The sequence below is a fragment of the Homo sapiens genome, chromosome 4 (genome assembly GCF_000001405.40).
Source record: "Homo sapiens chromosome 4, GRCh38.p14 Primary Assembly".
NCBI lineage: Eukaryota > Metazoa > Chordata > Mammalia > Primates > Hominidae > Homo > Homo sapiens.
The window spans coordinates 23,356,211-23,380,756 of NC_000004.12; the positions used below are offsets into that span (position 1 = coordinate 23,356,211).

Here is a 24,546-nt window from a genome sequence, read left to right on the forward strand (position 1 = left end):
AATAGACCAAGGCCCATGGATCAAGATGAGGACACTAGAAATAGCAAGAAGATGTCTGTTTTGAAAATTAGCCCGATAAGATTTGTCAATGGCTCAGCTTTCAAATAAAGATTTGAATTAAGCCTTGGTATGAAAAAATAAACTGTTGTACAGACCACTGGTATTGAGCTGTAGGTCCTTTTAAATTTATCTTTAGATCAGCTGCTATTATCTACTTATTTTTCACAACTCATTGCTAAATTCCTGAGGGAGTGCAAAACAAAGACAGTAGGAAAATCATGCAATTCTATTAATTCTAAAGATGTTTTGTTTCTGACTGAGAAAAGTAAAAACAGATACATTATATATTCTTGACATCTTAGGGCACCCTTTTAATCTTGAGTGATATGTCCTGTATCACTAGTATATCCCAGGTAACTCATTTTGTAACAAATACTTGTGGTGCACTTACTTTGTACCAGAGACTGTGGTAGACACTAACATAACAGGCACAAACCATCTGGACATTAACCAAGTAACTGCAAGTGCCATCCATGTTACCAAAGTCAACGTCAAGTCCTACGGGAGTCTACAACGTAATTCAGGCAGTAAAAACAAATAAATGTGGCCGGGCGCGGTGGCTCATGCCTGTAATCCCAGCATTTTAGGAGGCTGAGGCGGGCGGATCTCGAGGTCAGGAGATCGAGACCATCCTGGCTAACACGGTAAAACCCCGTCTCTATTAAAAATACAAAAAATTAGCCAGGCGTGGTGGCGGGCACCTGTAGTCCCAGCTCCTCGGGAGGCTGAGGCAGGAGAATGAAGTGAACCCGGAAGGCGGAGCTTGCAGTGAGCCGAGATGGCGCCACTGCACTCCAGCCTGGGTGACAGAGCAAGGCTCTGTCTCAAAAATAAATAAATGAAATTAAAGTAAAATAAATAAAATAAAATAAATGTAAAGTGCCTGAACCAACATATGGAACAAAGGTTTACATCCAGCATTGACAAACTACAGTTTGCTAGTCATCTGCATTTTTTTGTAAGTAAATATATTTTGGAACACGGTTCTGTCTATTCTTTAAGTATCATCCATGGGTGCTTATCAGTACGAAGGCAGAGGTGACTAGTTGCAATACAAACTGTTATGATCTGCAAGTCTACTATATTTGTTACCTGGTCCTTTAAGAAAACAATTTCCCAACCTCTGGACTATAGAATGACAAATATCCAACCACAAGAATATTTATAACTTTTAAGTGTAGAGTAAAGCTATTATTCCTACTTCTATCTCATATAGTTGGCATTGGAAACAAAATTCTTTGCTGATTGGCCCGTGAAAGCAAGCCTAATAAATGAGGACATTTCTCTCTGCTGGCCTGAAAGACAGCATCAGTCTTGTTTGGTTGTTTTTATACAAGGCAAACAGAGCTTTTCCTACCATGTGGCAGTTGGTCTGTCCTTCATTTTAAATAGTGAGAAAGACAGCACAGAGACTATCTCCAGACCCAAGTGCTGACTTACTGGCTTTGGCAACTCTTGAGCTCATGTTTACTTTGTCATGACAATAAAGTTATTCATGTTGAAGTTGAATCAAATTGACAGACACCAATAGCTATTGGTAAACTGGAACAAGTACAATTTTTATTTATAGGATTCAGCATAGTGTATTGTATTGGCATTTAATGAAAGCCATAAACAATCCCCCAACTGAGAAACAACCTAGAACAGAACAGCAAATTGACCAGCAGTTGTCCACTCATCAGGGTTTTACATAGAATGCTGTGTGAATGGTGTTCCTTGAAGGAGGCAGTGCACGGGCACAGTACTATTATTATTGGGAAAAGAACTATTCTTTCCAAAATAAAACAACATTTGTGAACCCCCTGCCCAAATCTAGGGGTTTTAAGGAAATCTCAACAGTCGCACATGTATTTTTATTTTTTTCCTATTTCTGAGAATGAAATTCTGTTATTCTTTCTTCACAAGTTTTATATTCAGTTACTTAAATTTACAACAAATTTGAACTCCTTTATACCCTTTCACTATTCAACCACATTTATTAAACATTCATCAGCACAATGGATTGATGATATAAGCAATCCCAATAGGAATGAGAGGACAGGCCCTTTGTCTTTCAAGAGTATGCAACCTAAAAAGAGAAAGAGAATAAACTCTAAAATATTTTGTAAAGCCCATTATAAGCTACATAATACACACACACCATCACACAACATGTTTATAAATGATGTGAGGCTGTGGGGTTTCCTGGCATATTGGGCTGATTATTGATTAAGTTTGCTCAGAGCAAATTTGAAGTGAACTTTGAATTGAAAGGAAAGAATTCATGACATTTACAAGATTCTTTAAATCAAGAGTCAGTAAACTACAGTCCAAATCTAGCTTGCTGACTGTTTTTGTAAGAGAAATTTTGCTGGATAATAGACATGTCCATTTGCTTATGTATTATCTACAGCTGCTTTCATGCAACAGTGGCAGAATTGAGCAGTTACAACAGAGATGGTATTTCCTGCAAACCTGAAATAATTTACTATCTGGCAGTTTAAGAAAGAGTTTGCTGACCCTGAGAGTGGAAAAAAAAACAACACAGAAACACTGACTAGCAAGTAGCTCTTATATTTCAGTTGTAAAGTGATGGGAACATGGATATGCGTATGTTTTTTATCTTAAATTATTTCTGGAGAAAGGATGGTTATAGATTAATATTAATATATAGCATGGTAGTCACATAATTGCTTGAGTCTTGATTTCCTTATTTAAAAACTAGAAATGATATCACCTACCAACAGATCTTTCAGAGAACTGCATGGGAGGCAAAGTCCTTTTCCCATGAAATGTGGCAGCGTTATTACCCTGGAGCTAACCTCCTCACTATCACTGGGTTGTGAATTGTGTGTTGTTATTGCTGAACCAGGGTCTACTTACATAAATATTTCCAACTTTTCCAAATGTTTCAGCACCTTCTTCTGAAGGAGGAACTAGATTGTCTTCTTTCATCATTCCTCAAGATTGTACTCTGGATTTCTCAATTTAGCTTAAGTGTGAACTGGAGTTTTAATCTGTGAAGGTTTCATTGTGAATGTGAAAAAAGAATATAAGAAATTTGACATTTCTTGAAATATGTCCTAAACCATCTTAGGACTTGTTGGGAATAGAAAATCATGCTTTGAACATCTTTTTTTTTCTTTTTTTTTCAAAAATTTAGAAAAAACCTTCAAGAGGACTACATTATCCACAAAAATATTCTAAGTACTCCCATGCTATAAAGTCCAGCTGTGAAACTAGTTCTACCTCATGTATAATGCACCAAATACCAAGCTGCAGAATTTAAAGTAATTTTAAGAATTATGAGTAGAGATGAACACATTTCCCTTTAAAGATACTACTAAATTGAAGCTTATGCAAATATGCTATAGACATTTACATTCTTAAATTTCTAATCCTCCAACCCCTGTTTAGGATCTGAAATGTGCTTCATGTTTCCAAGTATGTTCACATTAGTGGTTTTATCCCATAATCTGATTTGGAAGACAGGGTGAAAGTAGTTGTTCCTATTTTTTACTTATATAAAAACTGAGGCTCAGCTGGGGTAACAGGCCTATTCAAGATGCACACCAGAATTTCTGCTAATGCCCAGATCATTGGCAATACTTCTAAGATCCTTGGAAAGATAAATTTCACATTGCATAAAAACTGTTTTAAATGTCTAAGATTTAACTTAAAAATGAGGTATACATATGTGTGTATGTACATGTCTATGTATCTAAACTGTAGGTATAAATATATATCTATATATAGACAGAGGTATTCCACATCTGTTGCATATCTATATCCGTACCCTATGAAAGAATGCCTTTATAAGAATTTTAAGTTTCTATCTACAGAGAGAGTTGTGGAAATCACATTCACTCTCTGTTATGCTATTGTTTATTTCTCAGTGACCTTTAAGAGAAAATTTTGATGGCAGAGGTGGCCCATCTAGAGTGGCCACTGTGAAGATGTTGGCTGCAGTGGAAGAAGTACTGCTGGGGCTCAGTGCTTCACAGAGCCAGCAGGAGGTGGGAAGAGGTGGGATTCCTGCCTCCTTCCAAGTTGCAGCTGGTAGTCCCTAGTCTGTCCAAGTCTGGCTGGGTGGGGGGTTTTTATGGCCTAAAAGGAAGGAAGTGCATGCTGATTGGTCCATGGGCAGCCATGGGAGGGCCCGGAAAAAGCACCTCCCCTGAGTGCAGCTGCAGCCACCCAGCCACAGCTGCAGATGGGGGCATCCCTGTGCTCTCGGGGCCCCAGAAAACACTTACCCCACTGCCCCCACAGGCTCAGAAGTACCTACTGCCACTGCCCAGCCTCTCACTGCTCCCAGCACCTGATTGAATTTTGGAGCAAAGATGAGGCCAAACCTGGGAGCTATTGCCACCTGGCCAGGTATGCACATGCTTGAGGTGTCACTAACACACCAGCTCCCTGCCACCTTGGCTTCCTCCAGACTTTGGGCACTGAGGAGCATGGGAAGGTTGAGGGGGTGCTGAGGGCAGTTCAGTGCAGGCCTGCAGGTTCCCCTTGGCATAAACAGCCTGGGCACAGTGGATTACATGTGTAGATGATGGCAGGAGGCAGACAGGCTCCTGGGCAGAAAGGGGCAAGTCCCTGGTGAAGCCCAGAATTCAAGTCAGGGAAGGCCTGAAGCATGGGGTTTGGGCTGTCAGTTCCAGGTGGAGTCCCCAGATCGAAGTGAGAACTTATGGTGATTTTTCTGGGCCCACCCATGGCTGCCCATGGACCAATCAGCACACACTTCCTCTCTTTTGAGCCAAAAAAACCCCTGGACTCAGCCAGACTCCAACAGACATCAGCACTACCAGCTCCAGGAAGGAGCTACACACATCAGTTCTCCTCTTCACTGAGAGCTGGACGCTTGTGGGGACGACCTGCCTGTGGAAAACGGCTACCCACTGCAGGTCTCCTGAGAGCTGTTCTGTCACTTAATGAAGCTCCTCTCTACTTTCCTCACCCTGTAGTTGTCCACATACTTAATTATTCTAGGACGAAGGACAAGAACTTGGGACCTGCTGAATGGTGGGACTGAGAATTGTGACACAAACAGGGCTGAAACATGCACCCTCATTTGCCATGTTGTGGGTGACGAGAAGGAGAGAAGAGCTGTGACCTTTTGGGGAGCCTAGACCTAGGGGTTCCCAGAGCCAGGGCTGTGACACCCTCACTTGGGCTCTGCAGTTCCTGGTTTCTCCAAGCTTCTGGGCATCACCACGTTCCCCTTGTGCAGACGCAGGTGCCTGCAGCAGAAGCTATGTGTCGTACATCTGGTTCAGCAGTAGCCTTGCACAGAGCTGGCACCTGTACCGGTGCCTGTAGCTGCCCACCCCGCTGCAACAACTGGCGTGCCTGGCTGTGCACAGTGGTGAAACCCTGCACTTGCTTGCCCACACACCCCTTGCTGCTCCATGCCTGGCTTGCCCTTGGCAGATGAGGGATCCAGGCCAGTAGTGTGAACTGAGTGCAGCCTGCTAGGCTGCGTGGGTGGGATGAGCCCAGCGGGCACAAGCAGTACTCAGGCAGAAGGTGCCAGTGGCCACAGAGGTTTCTGGGCACAGAGGATCCAAAGCAACACCCCAAGGATCCCGTGACAATTTCATAGATTATACTTATTTTCTGCAGTCACAACAGATGGAGGACTCAATGCTTATGTTGGAGAAGGAAGCTACATTGTCCCTGAGTTCATGGAAATGTCAAGTCTAGAAGATGGAAAAGTTCAGTTAATATCTCCAGAGACCCACAGTGAGTTTCACGCTCCATAAAATTACTTATGCTTTTATGTACAGTGCATGATCATCATCTCTTGGCAACTGGACACAAGTTAAGCACCTTCCATATGCAGCAGGGAAAACCTCTTCAGCAAGGAGGTCTACCCATTGGCATGCACAGATAATACTAGCTTTAGTTTTCCTATGTTGAAAGGAACATTCACCATGCTTCATGAGGGGTGTTGGATTAATGCGAAGTGTTTTCCAAAGGGGAAGGGATGTTCAGATGCCTGAGGAAACAAGGCACCAAGAGGGTGTAGTGAAAGTCATTTACTCACATTGACAAATTAATTATTTTCATGGCTGTGAACACAGTCTGCAGTGTGCACATGGTGTGTGTGCGTGTGGAATATACACACGTATTTTAGGCTCTGTTTCTGCACTTATGTTTAATTTATAAAGCCCAATGAACAGCACTACCTTGCCACAGATAAGCAGACAATCCTTCAAGTAGCCTTTTCTTCCCTTGTGGAGAGGAAGCCTTGAGAACATGGATGTGTCTGTATGTATCCCCAAAACTCTCACTTTGTGTGCCAACTTGATTGTCCTTTTCATTAATTTTTAATACGATTACTCTGGAGTGCTCTGAATTGGAAACTAAGATGGATCAAATGACAAGATATCAATTTCATGTTCAAGATAGTCTCACTTTAGAGACTTGGGGAATATGGGAGATACTCTTGTCTCAGTAAAAGAACATTTTGAAAGCACCTATTAGGAGGAATTTTATGGTCAAATTCCAAAACTGACTTAAAGATATATTTATGTCTTATTTCAGAAAAATCCATTTCTTTGATCAGCCTTCCATGATGCCTATAATTTCCACCCTGAATATCATCATCCTTCTGGGTTTTAGCATTTTGCTTTAGAATGCCTCTAAGAATATGTATCACATATAAAGTCAGTATATTAAGAGTTGTGTCTTTGGGACACTGTTTCTTATAGACACTGTTGAATAAACTGGCACATCTGAATAGTCTGTCCACTAAAGGAAATTGCACAGGGCAGGTAAGTTTTGATTCATAATAAGGAGGATGCATTTATTTAAAGATTCATTTATCCAAGCATTCCCTGTTTCTCTGTTGAACATGCTTTATTAATTTTTCACTCTGAGTGTCCACAGGAGATGCTAATCCTAGGTTTGGTGAAGGCAATGACACCATGAGGCACCTAGGTGCACCAGGCACAGAGGGGTCTAAGTTTGCAGAAACAATATTGACAGTCAATAAAAGACACTCGTGAAAAGGGAAATCATGTTAGTCGGAGAATCAAGGTGAAGTCTATTCAACCTCTACCTTACCTCCGGGTGATCCTGGCCACTGTCCACATCACTGGATACCTAGGTGGCAGAGGAGACTGTGAGATGTCTTGAGACAACTGTCAGGGTGGAAGCCCACCCACCGCCACACTGTTGCCTGTCCAGGAACACACACCAGGGCTTCTTTCTTACACTGTTCCTGCCTGCTGTGGCCCTCTTGAGGATTTTGGTTATAGGCCCTGAGATAGGATTTTAATATTAAAGCCAATAAAATGATACTTTAAAAAAAGATGTAGAAAAGACTAACAGACCATTAAAGCGAGTACAAAGACCCTGTACTTGAGGGTCAAAGACAAGATCTTCGCAGTGGTCTACCAGGTTCCCATGATCTGTGTCCCACCTCCTTTAGCTCCTCAGTACTGATCCAAATTCAACTCCCTATTCACTTGTTTCAGAGTCATCTCTATGAACACAGGGAATGGGGGTTTCCACAGTACTTAGAACAGTGCCTGGAAAACAGTAGGCACTCATTATGTTTTTTAAAAGCAACACATGAAAAATCGAGGTCTTACCTATTCTATTCTATAACTTACTTGAGCCTCAGATTGCCCATTTGGTAAAGATGAGATCACTGCCGATTTTGCAGAGAAGGTGGGAGGATAAAAAGGATCATACACATAAAGGTCTTGGCAGAAGTGCTCACTTAGGCATCATATGTATTAAAAAAAAAGAAAAGGATCCTCACAGAGTGTCCTACAAAAAGTTGGTACTAAATAATGATTTGATTTGCTTCCTCTCCTCTTTTATTCTTCTGAATATAATAATGGCAGTTAATACTTATTGCACTTGTACTGTATGGCAGGCTCAATGTTGAGCATTTTATAAGGATTGTCTCACAAACTTTTCTCAACTCCGTGAAGTGAGAAACATATATTCTCATTTTTTAGATGGGGATTAGAAAAGTTAATTTTTTTTTCCCAAGGTCATCCAGCCAGTGAACAGTCAAACCAGGGTGCAAATTAGATTTACGTGACACTATCATTCCGCACTTCACTACAACACTATACTACAAGTGGCATAAGGAAAACTTAACTGTACTCTCAAGCTTGTTTCACACCTTGGTTAGATGACTCATATATTATCTATGCTTTGATAGCTGGGACATAAAGTGTTTCTTACAAATGGACATTATGAATCGTTTACATGTTTTTGTTTTTGGTTGTTTTTTATTTTTGTTTACATGGTTTTTGTTTTTGTTGTTGTTGCTGTTTGTTTTTTAAATCTCAGGGTATCTTAAATAGCCCAGCTAACTTAACACGTTTGCCTAAACCATCTTCATAAAACTCCATCCCTGGCTGTAAAGAGTTGATGTGAAGGTCTTCCTAAGATATAAAATAAAGTTATAATCTGTCATTGATTATTTCCTTGCAAGGAGCAATAATAAAAAATTAGATTTACACATCTTATATTGAACATAGCACCTTTTTTAAATCATGAAATGAACCCTATTTCATAGGCATTATTAGTATCCTCCAGTACCACTGGAGAGATTAGAACATTTGCCCCATGACCACACAGCTAGTAAGTGATGGAGCCCTTGAGAAATTATGAAAACTGAATTTTAGCAATTGATTTTCATAGGTGTTAACATAACTCAAGAACCTCATTTAGTCTAACTCCAATGCCTGTCCTCTTCACCATTGTATTAAACTATAAAATGCTATATCAAGGTGGTAATTTATTATACCTTTTCTTATACCATTATTCCACGTGGAAATTTCTTCTCCGGAATGCCTTCACAAGAACTTCAAGTTCCCATCTATGGAAACCCTCTTTACAACTATTTATTCAATGCACTGAGCTGGTGATCACTCTCACAAGTATCTGAGAACAAAGGGCAAAAATGACTTTGGCATAACAACCCATACTCCTCAAGTGTCTGTCTGACCACGTTGGCTGACTAGAGAGGCCCTAAGCTGTGAAGTAACAGATAGTTCTGTTAAGGCATTTAGATGGGTTGTCCAAAACCAAAAGTTGGCAATCGTCCCAAAATGATGTGGCAAGGTTCTGACCCCTTACTGGGCAGAGGGGAAAGTTGAAGACTCTTTTCTTGTTGCTGATGGTCTCAGTTGCCAAGGGTATGTGCCTGCCAGTCTCCAAATCAACTTCTGGTAGAGACTGGAGGTGGAGATCACTTCTGTAGACTAAATTAGGCATCTGGAGAAATAGTATTAATTCTGTCAAGCTGCTTAAAACTGAGTTCGGAGTACTTCAGCCTCCCAGCACACTGCTTATGTGATCAAAGTCAGCTGTATCTTACAGCCAATGCTGTTCTTCCCTTGAAAAAACTTCTCAACAAAGTTGGGAGATTTCCTTCTTTTTTTACCTCATAATCTGCTGTTATAATTTTTAAATTATTACCCAATACCATCATTCCCATTCTTTTCTACATTTTCTACCAAAGGCAGCCACATTCATTGAGTTTAGAAATATTTAAATTTCTTGTTGAGTTTCATTTTACTCCTAAACTCGTTCATCAATATCTGTCTCCATCTTGTCATTCATGTTACCATTATGGGATGAGTCCACTTGCATAGACACCAGCCCCCTTCACATGTACAAACTTTTATGTCATGTCTTATAGCCCACCACAGCACAGTGACACTTTTCAGGGTGCACTGAAAGCAAGATCAAAGATATGATGAAGTGACATAAAATTGTAAGCCACCAGATTCACAACAACATTCAAAAGTTTGGCAGGAGGGCATCATTAATATTTAAGAAGATTCCCTGCTTTTTGGCAGGAATTCTGCACACAACTTTCCAATTAGCATGCTTTATGGCTGGGGAGAAGCTGGTTTATCGGTTGTAAGTACATTGTCTGACTGAAATCTTTCCTGTCAGATAAATTACAAAGGAATTTGTACAACTTTACCCAGACTCAGACTTAGCTCAAGATTAATATGAAAACAGGGCCCTCCCTCAAGTCTTCTTTGAGTTCTTCTGAGAGTTTTCTTCATTAAGTCTTCCAAATGCTCTGCTTAGCTAGTGAAACATTAAATGATATTCTTACCAGGAGGTGCAGGATGGAAGTTTCAACTAAATCTTCTCACAAGAATGATCTAGATTGAGACATTGCATTAGGGACTGGGAGTGAATTACTTACCGTGACACAACCTTCTTACTTTCTGCTTGCTATGGGTTGAAATACAATTAATATAACTTGAGCTGAGTAGGATGAAACCTTAACTTAATAAACAAAAGCTTGATGGTGTCTCTTCCATTTTATGATTCGTGCCCTCTGGGCAAAATCTCAAAACATCAATAGGTAATTTTTCTGGGGATATTTTATTGTTTTGAAACATTTTAAATGTGTTTCTGAGATTCTGTATAGTCCTATTTGAGATGAATCATGACTTAAGGATGTTCTTGACTTACTGTTGCATGAAAGGAACCCCAAACATTTCCCATTAGAGAGAACTTTGTCCTACATAAGGGAACCTTTCCATCATTATCAAACTGTTGTTAGTGAAAACTTACAGGCTAATAATTTAGTTGTTCTAAATTTGCAGCATGTTGGTAGAAAACATTATTTCCCTTGTGATATTTATGGTTTAATTTGAAAATTAAATGCAAAAGAATTCTGCACTAACACTATGTACACACACAAAAAATCTCTTGAGGTCGCATCATAAAAAGTATTCATAATTCTGTGATTAACAGCCCTAACACATATGCATTGTGCTTTGAAATTGAGATGTTACATCTAATAGCTAATCTAATTTTCTGATTAACTTTGAATATATCTAAAGCAGCTGTTATTCATATAGGACACATTTATAAACCCAATGTGTATAGGATTTATATCATTATTTTCTATCAATGTCTTATTAATTGATTTGTTATAACAACATAAATATTTTTTCTCACATGAGAAAATAAATTATGCTGATAGTAAGCAAGCCAAAATCTCTTTGACAGTCATTGTGCCCAACTGAGATTTTTCTAGATGGATGCTATCCTTTCAATGATGAATTCCTCAGGAACAGGACTAGTGAGACACACTTTCTAAGCAAAAAATTTAAGGGGCCTCCAAAAAGCTCAGTAATCAAGATAAATAACACTTTAAGATGATATTTAAAATCTAAATTAATGCAAAACTACTTAATGAACAAAATACCAAAATTTTAAATCAAGACAGGGTTAGTATCACTGATATTTCCTTTGCCTCAGGTTCCATTATGGCTCAGCAGGACACTGGAATGTTTCCATTTCTTAACAGATCAATGGTAAATATTCACTTTGTATTATTTGTATAATAATATTTTCAGCCTTGATGTTGCACTAGTTTTAAAATGTTAACTCACTTTAATATGTGATTCTTTTTCCACCAAGGCTGTAAATTATTAGAAATCAGAAACTCTGGTTATACCTCTCTATTGCAGTAAACTACTGATCATAATAACTGTTTAACTCTACTTAAAACCACACTTGGATAAGGAGAAGACAGTCTTTCTTCTTAAGAGGCTATTTATTGAAACAAAAAAAGTCATACAGTTAGCAAGTTACAGGGAAGAAAAAAAGCAGTGGTTTGATTATTATCTCTGCCACTCAGTACCTGTGTGACTTCAGGCATGTTACTTAACTTCTCTGGTCCTCCATTTTCCCACCTGTGATATGAACATTTTACTGGGTGACACTGAAGATTAAGTGAGATAACCAGTGTGAAATACTCAACCCATACCAGACACTAAGGATTTTTTTCCTTCCCGAATTGCATTGTCTCCATCATATCTATGAATAATTAATACACACTTTTAGTTCCAAGATGCCAACCAAGTAGGCAATCATTCTTCTCTACGGATCATCACTGGGGCCACAGAAGTATGCCTGCACTCAAGAGCTAGCTCCGCCTCCCCACCTTTCCTGACCCTAGCTATATCTGGCTATTGGTTGTCTAACCTGGGGCATACACCAGATGGCAGTGTCCCATTGAGGACTAGATGTTTCTAGCCTTTCAGCTCACTGACCAAGTGACCAGTTGCTTTGCCATATCTGTATGCGTGTTACAGGTCAATAGCCTTAGCCTTGGGGCCTAGTAGATGTTCATTGTAAAAATAAACACTGGAAAAACCTCTGTACAGATTCTATTCCCCTTCAATTGCAAAGCATTTCATTTGCAAGGTCAATTGGAAAAGGTACATATGTGATGTAGTAGTAAGCATGCACTTCAAATAGGTTTGTGTCAATATTTACATTTGTGTGCACTTCAACAAGTAAGTACATAACGATCCTTTACGGTCTGACACAGTGCTAGGCACCAAAGCTACAGGCATAAGGAATGCAGGTTCACTACCTTCAAGCAACTCATTGTTTGGTAGAAAAGACAGCGTTTTATGCAACCAATAATAATACAATGTGATTATTGTTATTCTATTTAACACAGATGACTTCCAATTTTTTTTATCTTTTATGTATCTGTCCTGGAGTTAATGCATTGCATGGATTTTACTAAGTTCACTTGCCGTTAGCTAAAAACTCTCAAATGTAGATGCCTAGTGTTTTCCATTTAAAATATATAGAGCCTTTCTATCTTGCTACAATCCATCATGTATGTGACGTTTGACGTGTATATACCATATCCACTTTTTAATACTAAGAAGTAGTATACTCAACAGTTCTGCCACATCTATTAATTTATCTTACAAATATTTATTATGGGATGCCAGGTACTCTGCTTACGAAAGTGTAAATATGAATGAACTAGAGTTCTTGCTCTAATAAAAGGTTAAAAATGGTTAGAATGTGAAGTTCTGCTAAGGCAGTGTGCTGCAAGCACGTGAGTGAGTATGAGTGTGTATAAATTTATGTACACATGCAATTCTTAGCTGTGCTACTGCTATCTTTGGTAATATTTGTGAACTGATGGCTGAGTCATTTACACAAGGGATGTGTGTGTATGTGTGGGTGTGTGTTGTCACTTGGTGTATGATTATGGTTGCTGAAATTAAAGGCCACTTTTCTGTGTAGTTCTCACAAAGACACACATCATCTAGGATTGCCAAACTGGAAAAATAATAACTAGAGTAAATTTATTCTGGTCACATTGTCCTTCCCTTTTTCTTATTCATTCCCTTCCTGTCTCCGTCCTGAGCCACCTGCCTCCCACCAGGAGCAGTCACGTGCCCTCCCATGACCTCTAAGGACTCACAGGAATCTGATTTTCCTACTGCATCCTGCCAGCTGGGGCCTTGGGAATCTGACACCCCACTGGATCTTTCACAGGCTCTGCCCTGGCATTTCAGAGTAGGCGCCACACAGATCCCTCCCTCTCTTGTGCCCCAATCTATGCAAGGACACTGCCCATGGCATTTCAAAGACCAGCTCTGCTACTGGGAGGCTTGCTGTTCCTGGGAACCTGACTGCCAACACCAATGGAAGCTCAGCAAAGAGGCAGCTTTTTAGGTTCCTTGGCCAGTGGGGCCCCAAAGGTGCCTATTAGAGCTGCACATGGCCGACAGATTAAAGTTCAAATGCAGCTGGATCATTATCTGAGATTTAGATGAAAAGGGGATTCGAAACCCTCTCTTCTTTCTCAAAGTGTTGATAATTTCCCTCTGCACAAAAGGGAAGAGTGGAAATAGTCCCCGAAATCCTGACTTATCTGTGGAATATTGGAACTGACATCTACTTTTTTGGCCATTGATGTTTTAGGAGGCATCGTAGTTACTGTCTGTTCCTTCCTATAATTCACAAGGTCTGTGACTGAGTCTGGGAATCTACATTTTTAAAAATGCACCTTCTTTTTTTTTTTAATGTAGTCTAAATGGAAGCCACTGCTTAAAGTTTCTTCCTAACCTGATGCACTGTGAGTCTATTGCCTCCAGGATACAAACAGGGAAGCTTATCATTACAAAATCAAGTAAGAAGACAGGAGCAGACCAAGCTTAGACCTCAAGTGTCCTGGCATCTCATTGACTCCTGGCCCTCTGCACTCAGCTGACTCCAACAGAGCCCAGGTTTTACCACGTGAGCTTCAAATGAGGAATGAGGCCTGGACTCTGCATGGAAAAAGCAGATGGACACTTACAAGGCTTCCACAGGGCTCCAAAAATGACAAAGTCATTGTTGAGTGCTGTAAAAAGATAGCCAGAAGAAAAAGGAGTTGTGAGTTCTGGGAATGAGATGATAAAACAATGCAAATTTCTAAACAATGCCAATTTCTAAAAATGAAAGAACATAGCAAAGAATGAAGCAAGGGCTGCGGTGGGTAGGCCCTTGGTTGAATCAGGCTATGAGGTGTGAGAAGAACAGCTATGTTCAATTGTGTAAAGCAAGTCATGGAGCCTGGGAAATTGTCCAAACAGAGTAGGCTCTGGAAAAGGATGGCAGCCCCAGAGAAGGGAGGAGGGTTGCATAGTGAGTGGGAGGTGGGTAGCAGTGTACTGAAGACAACAGTGAGCTCCTGCGTGATATATCCAGATCACCCACTGCTCACACCTTGAAACATTTATCTCTAGGTCCCTGTCAAAAAGACATAAGGCAAAAAGACTAATCACAATGACTACTAGTTATTGAGCATGTGCTCTGTGCATAGAGCAGGTCTCTTGCTAGCATGCTCCTTTAAGGAAGCAGAAGTGATTTACTATGAAGCTATAAAGCTTACACTTCAGGGCCCTCACTTGCATAGGCCCCACTCATGGTCCTGAGAGGGGGCCCTAGAAATGTGTTCATTCAGTCACGTATTTTATAAAACTTACAAAGAAGAATATTTTTTAATTATCTTTCAGGAATATTTAATCTCTGGGTACCACAAATCCTGTTCAACCTCGGACTTTGGGGAGGTAGGTGATGGCGGTGGTTCTGGTATTGATGCTGCTGCTCACCAGCTGCAGTATCTTAGACACAGAATATTCTCTCTGAGCCTTATTGATCTCATCTGTAAAATGGGGTTATCTACCTTAGCCAACTTAATAGTGACTCAAAGGATCAAAGTCCATTCTAGTGAATGAGGAACTCCAAGAAGTATAACACACTGTTTTATTTCAGGGTTTTAGAGACAGTCAATATCCATGCAAAGAAATGTTTAGTTTAAAATGCAAAATATTATCTTCCAATGGAGTTACTAATATATATGCAAAGACCCAGTCATCTGTGCCTTTGCGTGGGCCAGAGTCTAGCTCTGGAATACAACAGTTACTGACAAAAAGGTCTCTAATGCTTATTTACCTAAAAGCAACAAGATCCCATTCCCCTCCTCCATCACAAATGGTCAACTTCCCCACATCAAAGACTATTTCACCAACCTCTCTGTGTCCCAGAGGGAGTACACCCAGAAAAAATTAGAAATGGAACTGTCTGCTCCATTAGCAATGCACAAATTTTTTATGGCCCAGGACCACTCCGGAAAGAATTGCTTATGACGCGATTCTCAAGTCATCAAAGCCCTTCCCACATGTGTAGTGAGGTCAATGCTGATGTCTCAGCCTTGCTCAGGAGAGTGCAAATCAGTTGCTCTTCTCCATTGTGGTGCTTTAAGGATGCGGGAACACTTTGAAAGGAATGCCTTCCTCCCAGCATAAACCTCCTTCGTTTACAAGGTGTTTTAGATGGCCCAGATCCCCAATGGATTTCTTTCTCCTGACTATGGAATACCTGTCCTTGAAGGTAAAGTTCAGGTGCCTAACTGATAAATACTTATTTTTCCTTGGCTTCTGCCTTTTCTTTCAGAATGGCCTCCAGGCCTCCCCTGTTAGAACCCCAAGGATGTCTCTGCTGAGACAAGGGGATGAGGAGAGCACAAAGAAATAAGTGGTAGATAAGAAAGAAATAAAGCAAATCGGATGGTTGCCGGGTCTGTGTGGATAGAAGTAGACATGGGAGACTTTTCATTTTGTTCTGTACTAAGAAAAATTCTTCTGCCTTGGGATCCTGTTGATCTGTGACCTTATCCCCAACCCTGTGCTCTCTGAAACATGTGCTGTGTCCACTCAGGGTTAAATGGATTAAGGGCGGTGCAAGATGTGCTTTGTTAAACAGATGCTTGAAGGCAGCATGCTGGTTAAGAGTCATCACCACTCCCTAATCTTAAGTACCCAGGGACACAAACACTGCGGAAGGCCGCAGGGTCCTCTGCCTAGGAAAACCAGAGACCTTTGTTCACTTGTTTATCTGCTGACCTTCCCTCCACTATTGTCCTATGACCCTGCCAAATCCCCCTCTGCGAGAAACACCCAAGAATGATCAATAAAAATAAAAAATAAAAAAGAAAAAAAAAAAAAAGAAAGAAATAAAGCATAAAATCCAAGATGCACTGAGTTCCTATAATGCAGCAGATACTTCATACATATCATCTTATTTAATCCTTTCTAGCAGACTTAGGGGAAGGGCTTATAATATTCATTTTGCAGAAGAGAAATCTGAGTGTCAAAGAAACTTTCCCAAAGTCAACAACTAATGAGAGAGAAAGTCAACATTAGACTCCATACTTCCAGAATCCAAAGCTCTTGAACTATTTCCCCCAAATTGCCATCTCCTTTAAAAAAAGGAATAAAAAATATATATATATATATATTTTTTTTTTCTTGCCCTCAAGATTACAAACTGGGCCGGGCATGGTGGCTCACGCCTGTAATCCCAGCACTTTGGGAGGCTGAGGCAGGCGGATCACCTGAGATCAGGAATTTGAAACCAGCCTGGCCAACATGGGGAAACCCCATCTCTACTAAAAATACAGAAATTAGCCGGGCATGGTGACGCTAGCCTGTAATCTGGTAATACTAGCTACTTGGGAGGCTGAGGCAGGAGAATCACTTGAACCCAGGAGGTGGAGGTTGTGGTGAGCCAAGATCACACTGCTGCACTCCAGCCTGTGTGACAAAGCAAGACTCTAACACTCTGTCTCAAAAAAAGAAAGAAAAAGAAAAGAAAAAAAAAGAAAGAAAAAATTGCAAACTGGCTTACACCAAGTGGAATGCAATCAGATTCCATGGCCACTTCTGCATTTGTTTTTAATTCCATGTAATCACCATGGCTGCAGCTTTTAATCTCCTGAATGGCCATAGCATACATTGCTGGTTCCATGCCAATCCCCAGAGCCCAGGCACCACTGAATGCAGGTAAGTGACTCACATGCTTTGAAAAGTTCCTTGACTCACCCTGTCAGTGACTATAGTCAGGGTTCCTTATCAACAAGTCCCGCCCCTTCTTGATAGGGGAGGACCTCTCAGCAGCACGAGTTGCCACTTCATCCTTCACACAAAGCTGTGGTTGTGTGGCTCCACAGCCCCCTTGTCAGTAATGAAATGGCCATGTGTGCAGTACTGTGAAGGGCCACAGATAGTTGCCAGGCATGCCAGCTGCAATGGAGTGTTTTGAGACATTGGAGTTTATGAGTAATGATCTAGGAGAGCATAGTTATTTTTTCTGAAGTGGGCCACAGTGAGTTCATTCTGGTTTAAGGGGCAGTGTCAGCCTGTGAGTAGTGTGCCGTTGGGGAATGCTAAGTGAATATTTTATGGTTACCGATACAAAATGGATGTTTTCCCTCTGCTTTTATTCACCCATCCATTCGTGTAATAAATATTTATCAAGCAACAATTATAATCCATGTACTACACTAGGAACATGGAAAACAAAGATGAATAAAGTATAAACTGTGCTCTCTGTAACTTAAGAGTTCAGATAGGAAGGTGTGCTTGTAAACAGAGGCATTTGGTAAAGTGTTCTGTCTATTACAGCCCCAGCATATGCAGGGCTTAAAGGAGAATGTGCTCAATAGGATCTGGGAAGGAGACAGAGAAGAGTATTCAGAAATACTTCATAGGGGAGAGCTTCCTTGCAAGAAAGCATTTTCAGCAGGAAAATAAGAGCTGTTGAATTAGATCAGTATGAAATTAAATCCTAGTTCTATTGACATTGAGCTATGTAATCATGACCTTGATTTTACCTTTCTGAGTCTCATCTGTACAGTGAGGATGACCCTACCCATGCCTACCGCAGAGACTTGTGAACATTGAATGAGATTCATGTTGGGCAATTCAAAGAGAGTTTTTAATAGTTGTGCATAATTCAGTACTTTTCCAGGGACACAGTCCCTCTGGGTAAGAGGGATGATTTTCCCAGTCATGCTGTCTGAACTTTGGCATGTGAATGTTTCCTTTTACCAATCTAAGATGTGCCAAGAGCAGGGCACCGTGACCTTAAAGATTAGGAATGTGAGCTGACAAATCAAAGAATTCAGTGACACCCAGGTACACGTGGTGGATAGTGATCACCACTGTTCCCTTGAGGAATGACGATTTACTTTACAACAAAAAGGAATGTGTTAGCCATTACTTCATGCTGTCCTTCTGAACTGTGAGAGTGTCAGGTATTCATATGTGGAAACCTGAACAAGAGATAAACAAATGTGACTTAATTTGCAATCTTTGTCTTTTTAGACTAGTCAATTATATATTGACCGTAATGCCTTTTCAGACTTATAAATTATATATTTTCTGTTACATTTGGAAAGTTAAGTCCATGTAATAGACTTATCAACTACTCAATGAAATAAAGCAGTGATTATTATTCCTGCATCAGCCAAGGTTCTATATTGCAAGCAACAAAATCTGACTCTGGCTTACTAAGAAAGAGAGTTTATTGAAAATATATTGAGTAGCCCACAGAATCATTAGGCGTGCTGGGGAACCAGAGTAACTGCTAATCTTTCAGGAGCTGATCTGATAAGAAAAGCAAGAAAACTGTGGACCCCACCATTGAACATTAGATGCCAATGCTCTATTCTTGGAAACTTGTCATTTCTGAGGAACTTGGCCTTATTGCTGTATTAGAGAAGAAGGAGCTCTCAGGCCCTTCCTTTCTCCATCACTAGGTCTTTGAGGCCTCTGATTGGTGGTGCACTGGCTATAAGAGAAGGTGGATGAGTTTATTCTTTTATTTTGAGAAAACAGAATCTAAGGCCAGGCATGGTGGCTCATGCCTGTAATCCCAGCACTTTGGGAGGCCGAGGTGGGTGGATCACCTGAGGTCAGGAGTTCAAGACGAGCCTGGCCAACATGGCAAAACCGTGTCTCTACTAAAAATACAAAAATTAGCCAGGCATGGTGGCAAGTGCCTATAATCCCAGCAACTCAGGAGGCTGAGGCAGGAGAATCTCTTGAACCCACGTGGTGGAGGTTGCAGTGAGCCGAGATCACTCCATTGCACTCCGTCCTGGGCAACAGAGCAAGACTCTGTCTCAAAGGAAAAAAAAAAAGAAAAGAAAATAGAATCTATAATATAAGGAACTCCAAACTTAGAGTGTTGAAAAAGATGTTGTAGATCCACAAACAAGACAGGCATCCACTGTAATAGTTAATTGTTATTATCATCATGATTATTACTGCCCCTAGTGATCCAATAAACATTTATTGAAGCACAAGCAAGTGTGAGGTATCCTCTAGAAGAAAAATTAGTAATAAAGGCCCTCAACCAGCTCTCACCTGGGAATAATAAGGCATGTACCTCAAATTTTAAAAAAAACTTATTCTAAGTCATTGAAAAAGGAAATTTGATGTAGACTTGAGTATTGCAAAGGGCTTCGTGTAGCCACTTAGAAAAACTTGAGTCTCGAGGTACCTGTGTAATTTGGTTACCAGGACTCTTTCTCCATCCCAGAAGTTAGAGCAGGGGTTCTCAAAGTTTCACACACATCAGAATCACCAGGAAGACTCGCTAAAACAGATTGGTAGACATCACCCACAGAGTTAGTGAAGAGGGACAAGAATTAAAATCTTCATCAAGTTCTGAGGGTAATACTTTAAAAACCAAAGAATTAAAAAAAAAAAAAAAACCTTCAGAACTAGAGACATGGAAGAAAGAATAAACCAGTGGGATTCAACGGAAAAGGAGATAGCTACATTCAAAACATAATCTGTGTGAGGGAAACATCAGGAACAAGATTGGAAACATAAATTTAGACCAGGCATTCAGATGTGGATTGTGCTTGAATGCCCTCCTGAGGTGCATGGAGTTAATGCTACAGACAGGAGAAAATGATAGTTGCCATTGGGCAGTTTATTCCAATTAACGTGTAATGGAGACTATTGAGTCTAGTATTGTACTGAGTGCTGAGAATAATACAGTTACATTTGATTTTTTCGATAAGCAAATCCTTTAATTATTCTCAAGAGAAAGGAAGACCAATCCAAATGTGAAGTGGGGCTTCTACGGTGACTTACCAAAGCAAATGAACAACTAAAATTAATGATATTTGAGAAAAAAATCAAGAAGATGTCTAAAGAGAAACCACTGTCCTTGCTACTAGCTTGCTGTGTGAGCTTGAGCACACAATGGATCCCCTCTGGTTTTCAAATGCATTGGTTCTTAACAAGTAATTTCTAAAGATCTTCCTGTCTCTAAAGGTATATGAGTCTATGATTAGACTGACATCTGAAGAAGAGAGATGACTCAATGGTAATTCAACATTATAGGACTAGAAAACTGGAAAAATAATGAATCCATAAGAAAGATAAAAATAATGTTAACATTTTTCATCTCAACTGGAAAATACTATGACCTTGCCTCAAAGCGGAACAACAACCACAACAAAAACTAGTTCATCAGAATGTCTTTGTTTAAAAAGTTGCACTCAATTTTGGAGGTTAAGAATAGATAATGTATTGGGAGGCAGCAGATATGCATATAGATGAAGCCTAATTCAATGCAAACCTGTTAGTTTATTTATGTTATTAATATGATACCCTAGAGGATATAAACCAATTAAAAACCCATTTCAATTATTAATTGGGTCCCCTAATTGAAGGGACATAATAAATTAATTAAAATGTCCTCAGCTCTATTCACTAAGGAGAACACCTAAGTCAGAGAATGGATTGGACAAACAGGTATTAAACTCTTAAACTGGGCCCTATTCAACAGATAGAAAAAGTAGCTAATTTACAGGAGGAGGTGTTTGAATGAGAAGCCCAGGAGAAGAGAGCTGAAGAGATGGATTTTCCACTTCATTCTGTGGATGTAGTGTCCCAGACGTGCCATCTAAATATGTCAGGATTCAGTTTACTTAATTGTAATGTAAAAACATTGAATCAAATAATTTAAAATGTTCCTATCTTGTGGTGGCCATTATGAGTCGCAAATGAGTTCTTGAGCCAAAAATGTCAATCCTAAAACTTCCAGCGATAATGAATCATTAATTAAGTTTTTACTGTGCAGACTCCAAGCCTCATCTTGTGCTCAGAACTAAAGGGTAGGAAGGTGAAAAACAGTTCTTGATCTCAGGCAGCTCACTATCTCAGAGTGTCAGAAGTAGGTACTGAACACGTGAAGAGAAAATAGGGACTTGGAGTGAAACTACATTGGCCTCAAGTCACAGGTCTGAAAAGAGATGGGCCTTAATTTTCTGTTTGCTGGAGAAAAAAAAATGGCAAAAATAACGTTTCAGAGGGTCACTGTGTTTATCAGATAAGATAGATGTAAAGATTATAACACAACACCGGGTAGACAGTATTCAGTACAAAGGCTGTTTTACTTTCCCATGTCCTTTCCTATAAATGGAGATGTGCTGTCCTCCGGGGAGGTTCTTAGAGAATATCATGTTACTTAAGAAAAGTGATTTTTCCTGTTATTTTGTACTGAACTATTAGCCAGGGTTTGGGGAAAGCACAAAAAACAACAAATGGTTTCAATGGCCAAATTTCAATAGATTAAAAGAAGCTTATTTGAATGGAATTTTTTTTTCATTTTGTAACTGGGAAATATGCCATACATATCGAAGAGGGTATATAAATATGTATGTACATGTTAAAGAACATTAATAAAAGTGAATAAAGTAGGCCGGGTACAGTGGCTCACGCCTGTAATCCCAGCACTTTGGGAGGCTGAGGTGGGCGGTTCACTTGAGGTCGTGAGTTCGAGACCAGCCTGGCCAACATAGTGAAACCCTGTCTCTACTAAAAATACAAAAAAGTTAGCTGGGTGTGGTGGTGGGTGCCTGTAATCCCAGCTGCTCGGGAGGCTGAGGCAGGAGAATCGCTTGAACCCGTGAGATAGAGGCTGCAGTGAGTCGAGATCATGCCACTGCACTCTAGCCTGGGTGACAGTGAGACTCTGTCTCAATACATTAAATAAATTAATAAATAAATAAATAGAGCCCCCTGTACCTAACATCAAGCTTAAGAAATACCTTGAAGGTTTCTAAATGTACCTCTGTAAACTATTTCAACATCTTCAGAGGTAACTGAATTTTTTGTGCCAATAATTTCACAACTTTGATTTAAATTTTTATTATATGTATGTATGCCTAAAATATGTACTATTTGGTAATAGCTGGTTTTGAACATTAAGTATATAGAATAATATTTTATACTCTATATATCCAGTGATGATTTGCTTCTTTCACACATTCGATTTTTGAGATTCATCCATATTGTTGCATGTAATTAGTTTATTCATCTTTACTCTTATATAATATTCCATTAAATGAATAATCACAAATTTATATATCCCACTATTAATGAACATTTTTTGCTATTGAACACAGTTCTTCTACAGATGTTGTTTCATATCTTTGTTGACTAGCATATGAGTTTCTCAAAGATACAGGACTTTAAGAGTGGAATCACTGGCTACCAGATATGCTGAGCCTTATTAAACATGCCAAATTATTTTCCAAAGTGGCTGTTTAAATGGGGAACCCCACCAGTGATTATTCCACTCGTGTGAAAATGCTTGGTATTTTCAGATGTTACAGTGGTTTCCAATCTGGTAAGTAAACAATTAGCTCTTCTCTGATTACTAATAAAATTGAGAATATTTTCATATGATGTGGGGTTGATTTGTGGTTTTCCTATTCTGAAATGTTTGTTCACATATTTTGCCCATTTTTATATTGGATTGTCTTTTTTTATTGGTTCATAAAAGTTTTTATTAAGTACAATTTCTGCACTAATTCTTTGCTGGTTTTATTTATTACAAATATCATTTCCTAGGGCTTGTCTTCTTTTCAATCTCTACATAATGTCTGTTGAGAAACAGATCTTAAAACTATGGTAGCTTTTCTTTTATAGTTTCAGCTTTTTTATCTTAAGAAATTTTTGTAAAGACCAAAAAAAGGGAAGAATCATGAATCCATGAGAGAGATAAAAATAATGTTAACATTTTTCATCTCAATTGGAAAATACTACAACCTTGCCTCAAAGTGGAACAACAACCACAACAAAAAACTAGTGCATCAGAATGTCTTTGTTTAAAAAGTTGCATTCAATTCTGCAGGTTAAGAATAGATAATGTATCGGGAGGCAGCAGATACGCATACAGACGAAGCCTAATTCAATAAAAACCTGTTAGTTTATTTACATTATTAATATGATAACTTATATTTACTATATGGCCTCCAATGTTTTTACTTAATCTTGCCAGACTTCTGTTCATTTTATTCGCCTTTTTCAATGAAGTAACTTTTATAGTTCTAAATCCTTTGTAATGATGTATTTTTTTCTTTTTCATCATGTCTACTCTAACCTTTATTATTTGTTTCATTATTCATTCCTTAAGTTTTTTTCATTTTTTCTAAATTAAGATAGATGCCTAATTTATTAGCTTTCAAGATATCTTCTTTTCTACCATAAGAACTTAAAACTATATATTTCTCTCTAATTATTCTGAAATTTAACTGCCTCCCACAAAATTTCTTGCATGATATTTTTATTGTTATTTTGTTCTAAGTATTTTTGAATTTTCATTATGATTTCTCTTTTGGCCCCGAATTTTTCAGTAGTATATTTTTAGGTATATTTTAAAATTTCTAAAATAGAGAAGTTTAGATTATGTCTCTGTTTTTTTATTTCTATCTTAATTGAATTTTATCAAAGATTATATTTCAAATGATTCTAATTTTAAAAAATTTATTGGGCTTTGCATTTCAGCCAAACTACATTCATTTTTGGTAAATACTGCGTTAGTTTTTAAGATACAGAAATTATAGAAATTATACATTTAAAATTGTTGTATCTTTTTAATTTAGTGAAAATATTATAGTTCTGCATTGACTCTCCTCAGGTCTAGGAAAGCGTCTTGATGTATTAGTCTTCTCTTAATATAGCTCTATAGTCTTCTGTTATTACATTTGGGTTATAATTTTTCCATCATTTACTTACAATTATGCTGCATCTTTCTCTTTTTGCTGTGTTTATTTTAAGCAGCACATAGTAGAAGTCACTTTTTTTTTTTTTTTTTTTAAAGACATGAGGTGTCACTTGGTCACCAAGGCTGGAGTGCAGTGGCACAATCATAGCTCACTGCAGCCTTGAACTCCTGGGCTCCAGGTATCCTTCTGCCTTAGCCTCCCGAGTAGCTGGGACTACAGGGGTGCACCACAGTGCATGGCTGAGTTTTAAAACAAATTTTGTAGAGATGGGAGTATTTCACCATCTTGCCCAGGCTGGTCTCCAGCTCCTGGGCCCAAGCAAT

General features: G+C 39.2%; 2 long non-coding RNA genes across 4 annotated transcripts in view, besides 1 other annotated feature; one reads left to right on the plus strand and one right to left on the minus strand.

Moving 5' to 3' along the window:
• The window catches only part of LOC105374524 (uncharacterized), a 507,306-nt gene that overhangs the window by 358,679 nt on the left and 124,081 nt on the right, over nucleotides 1-24,546 (plus strand). Inside the window, exon 17 of the long non-coding RNA XR_007058437.1 lies at nucleotides 5,671-5,790. This is a non-coding gene — a long non-coding RNA (uncharacterized LOC105374524). The remainder of the gene's footprint in view (nucleotides 1-5,670; nucleotides 5,791-24,546) is intronic.
• Nucleotides 1-24,546, minus strand: part of LOC105374523 (uncharacterized) — a 97,876-nt gene that overhangs the window by 53,678 nt on the left and 19,652 nt on the right. The gene's annotated exons all lie outside the window — the stretch shown is intronic.
• Nucleotides 16,956-17,250: a silencer, noted in NCBI's record as "tiled region #1330; HepG2 Repressive non-DNase unmatched - State 24:Quies, and K562 Repressive non-DNase unmatched - State 7:EnhWF". NCBI's record gives its function as "represses a minimal TATA promoter and a strong SV40 promoter by Sharpr-MPRA in HepG2 and K562 cells {active_cell/tissue: HepG2 | K562}" and the evidence as "EXISTENCE:reporter gene assay evidence [ECO:0000049][PMID:27701403]".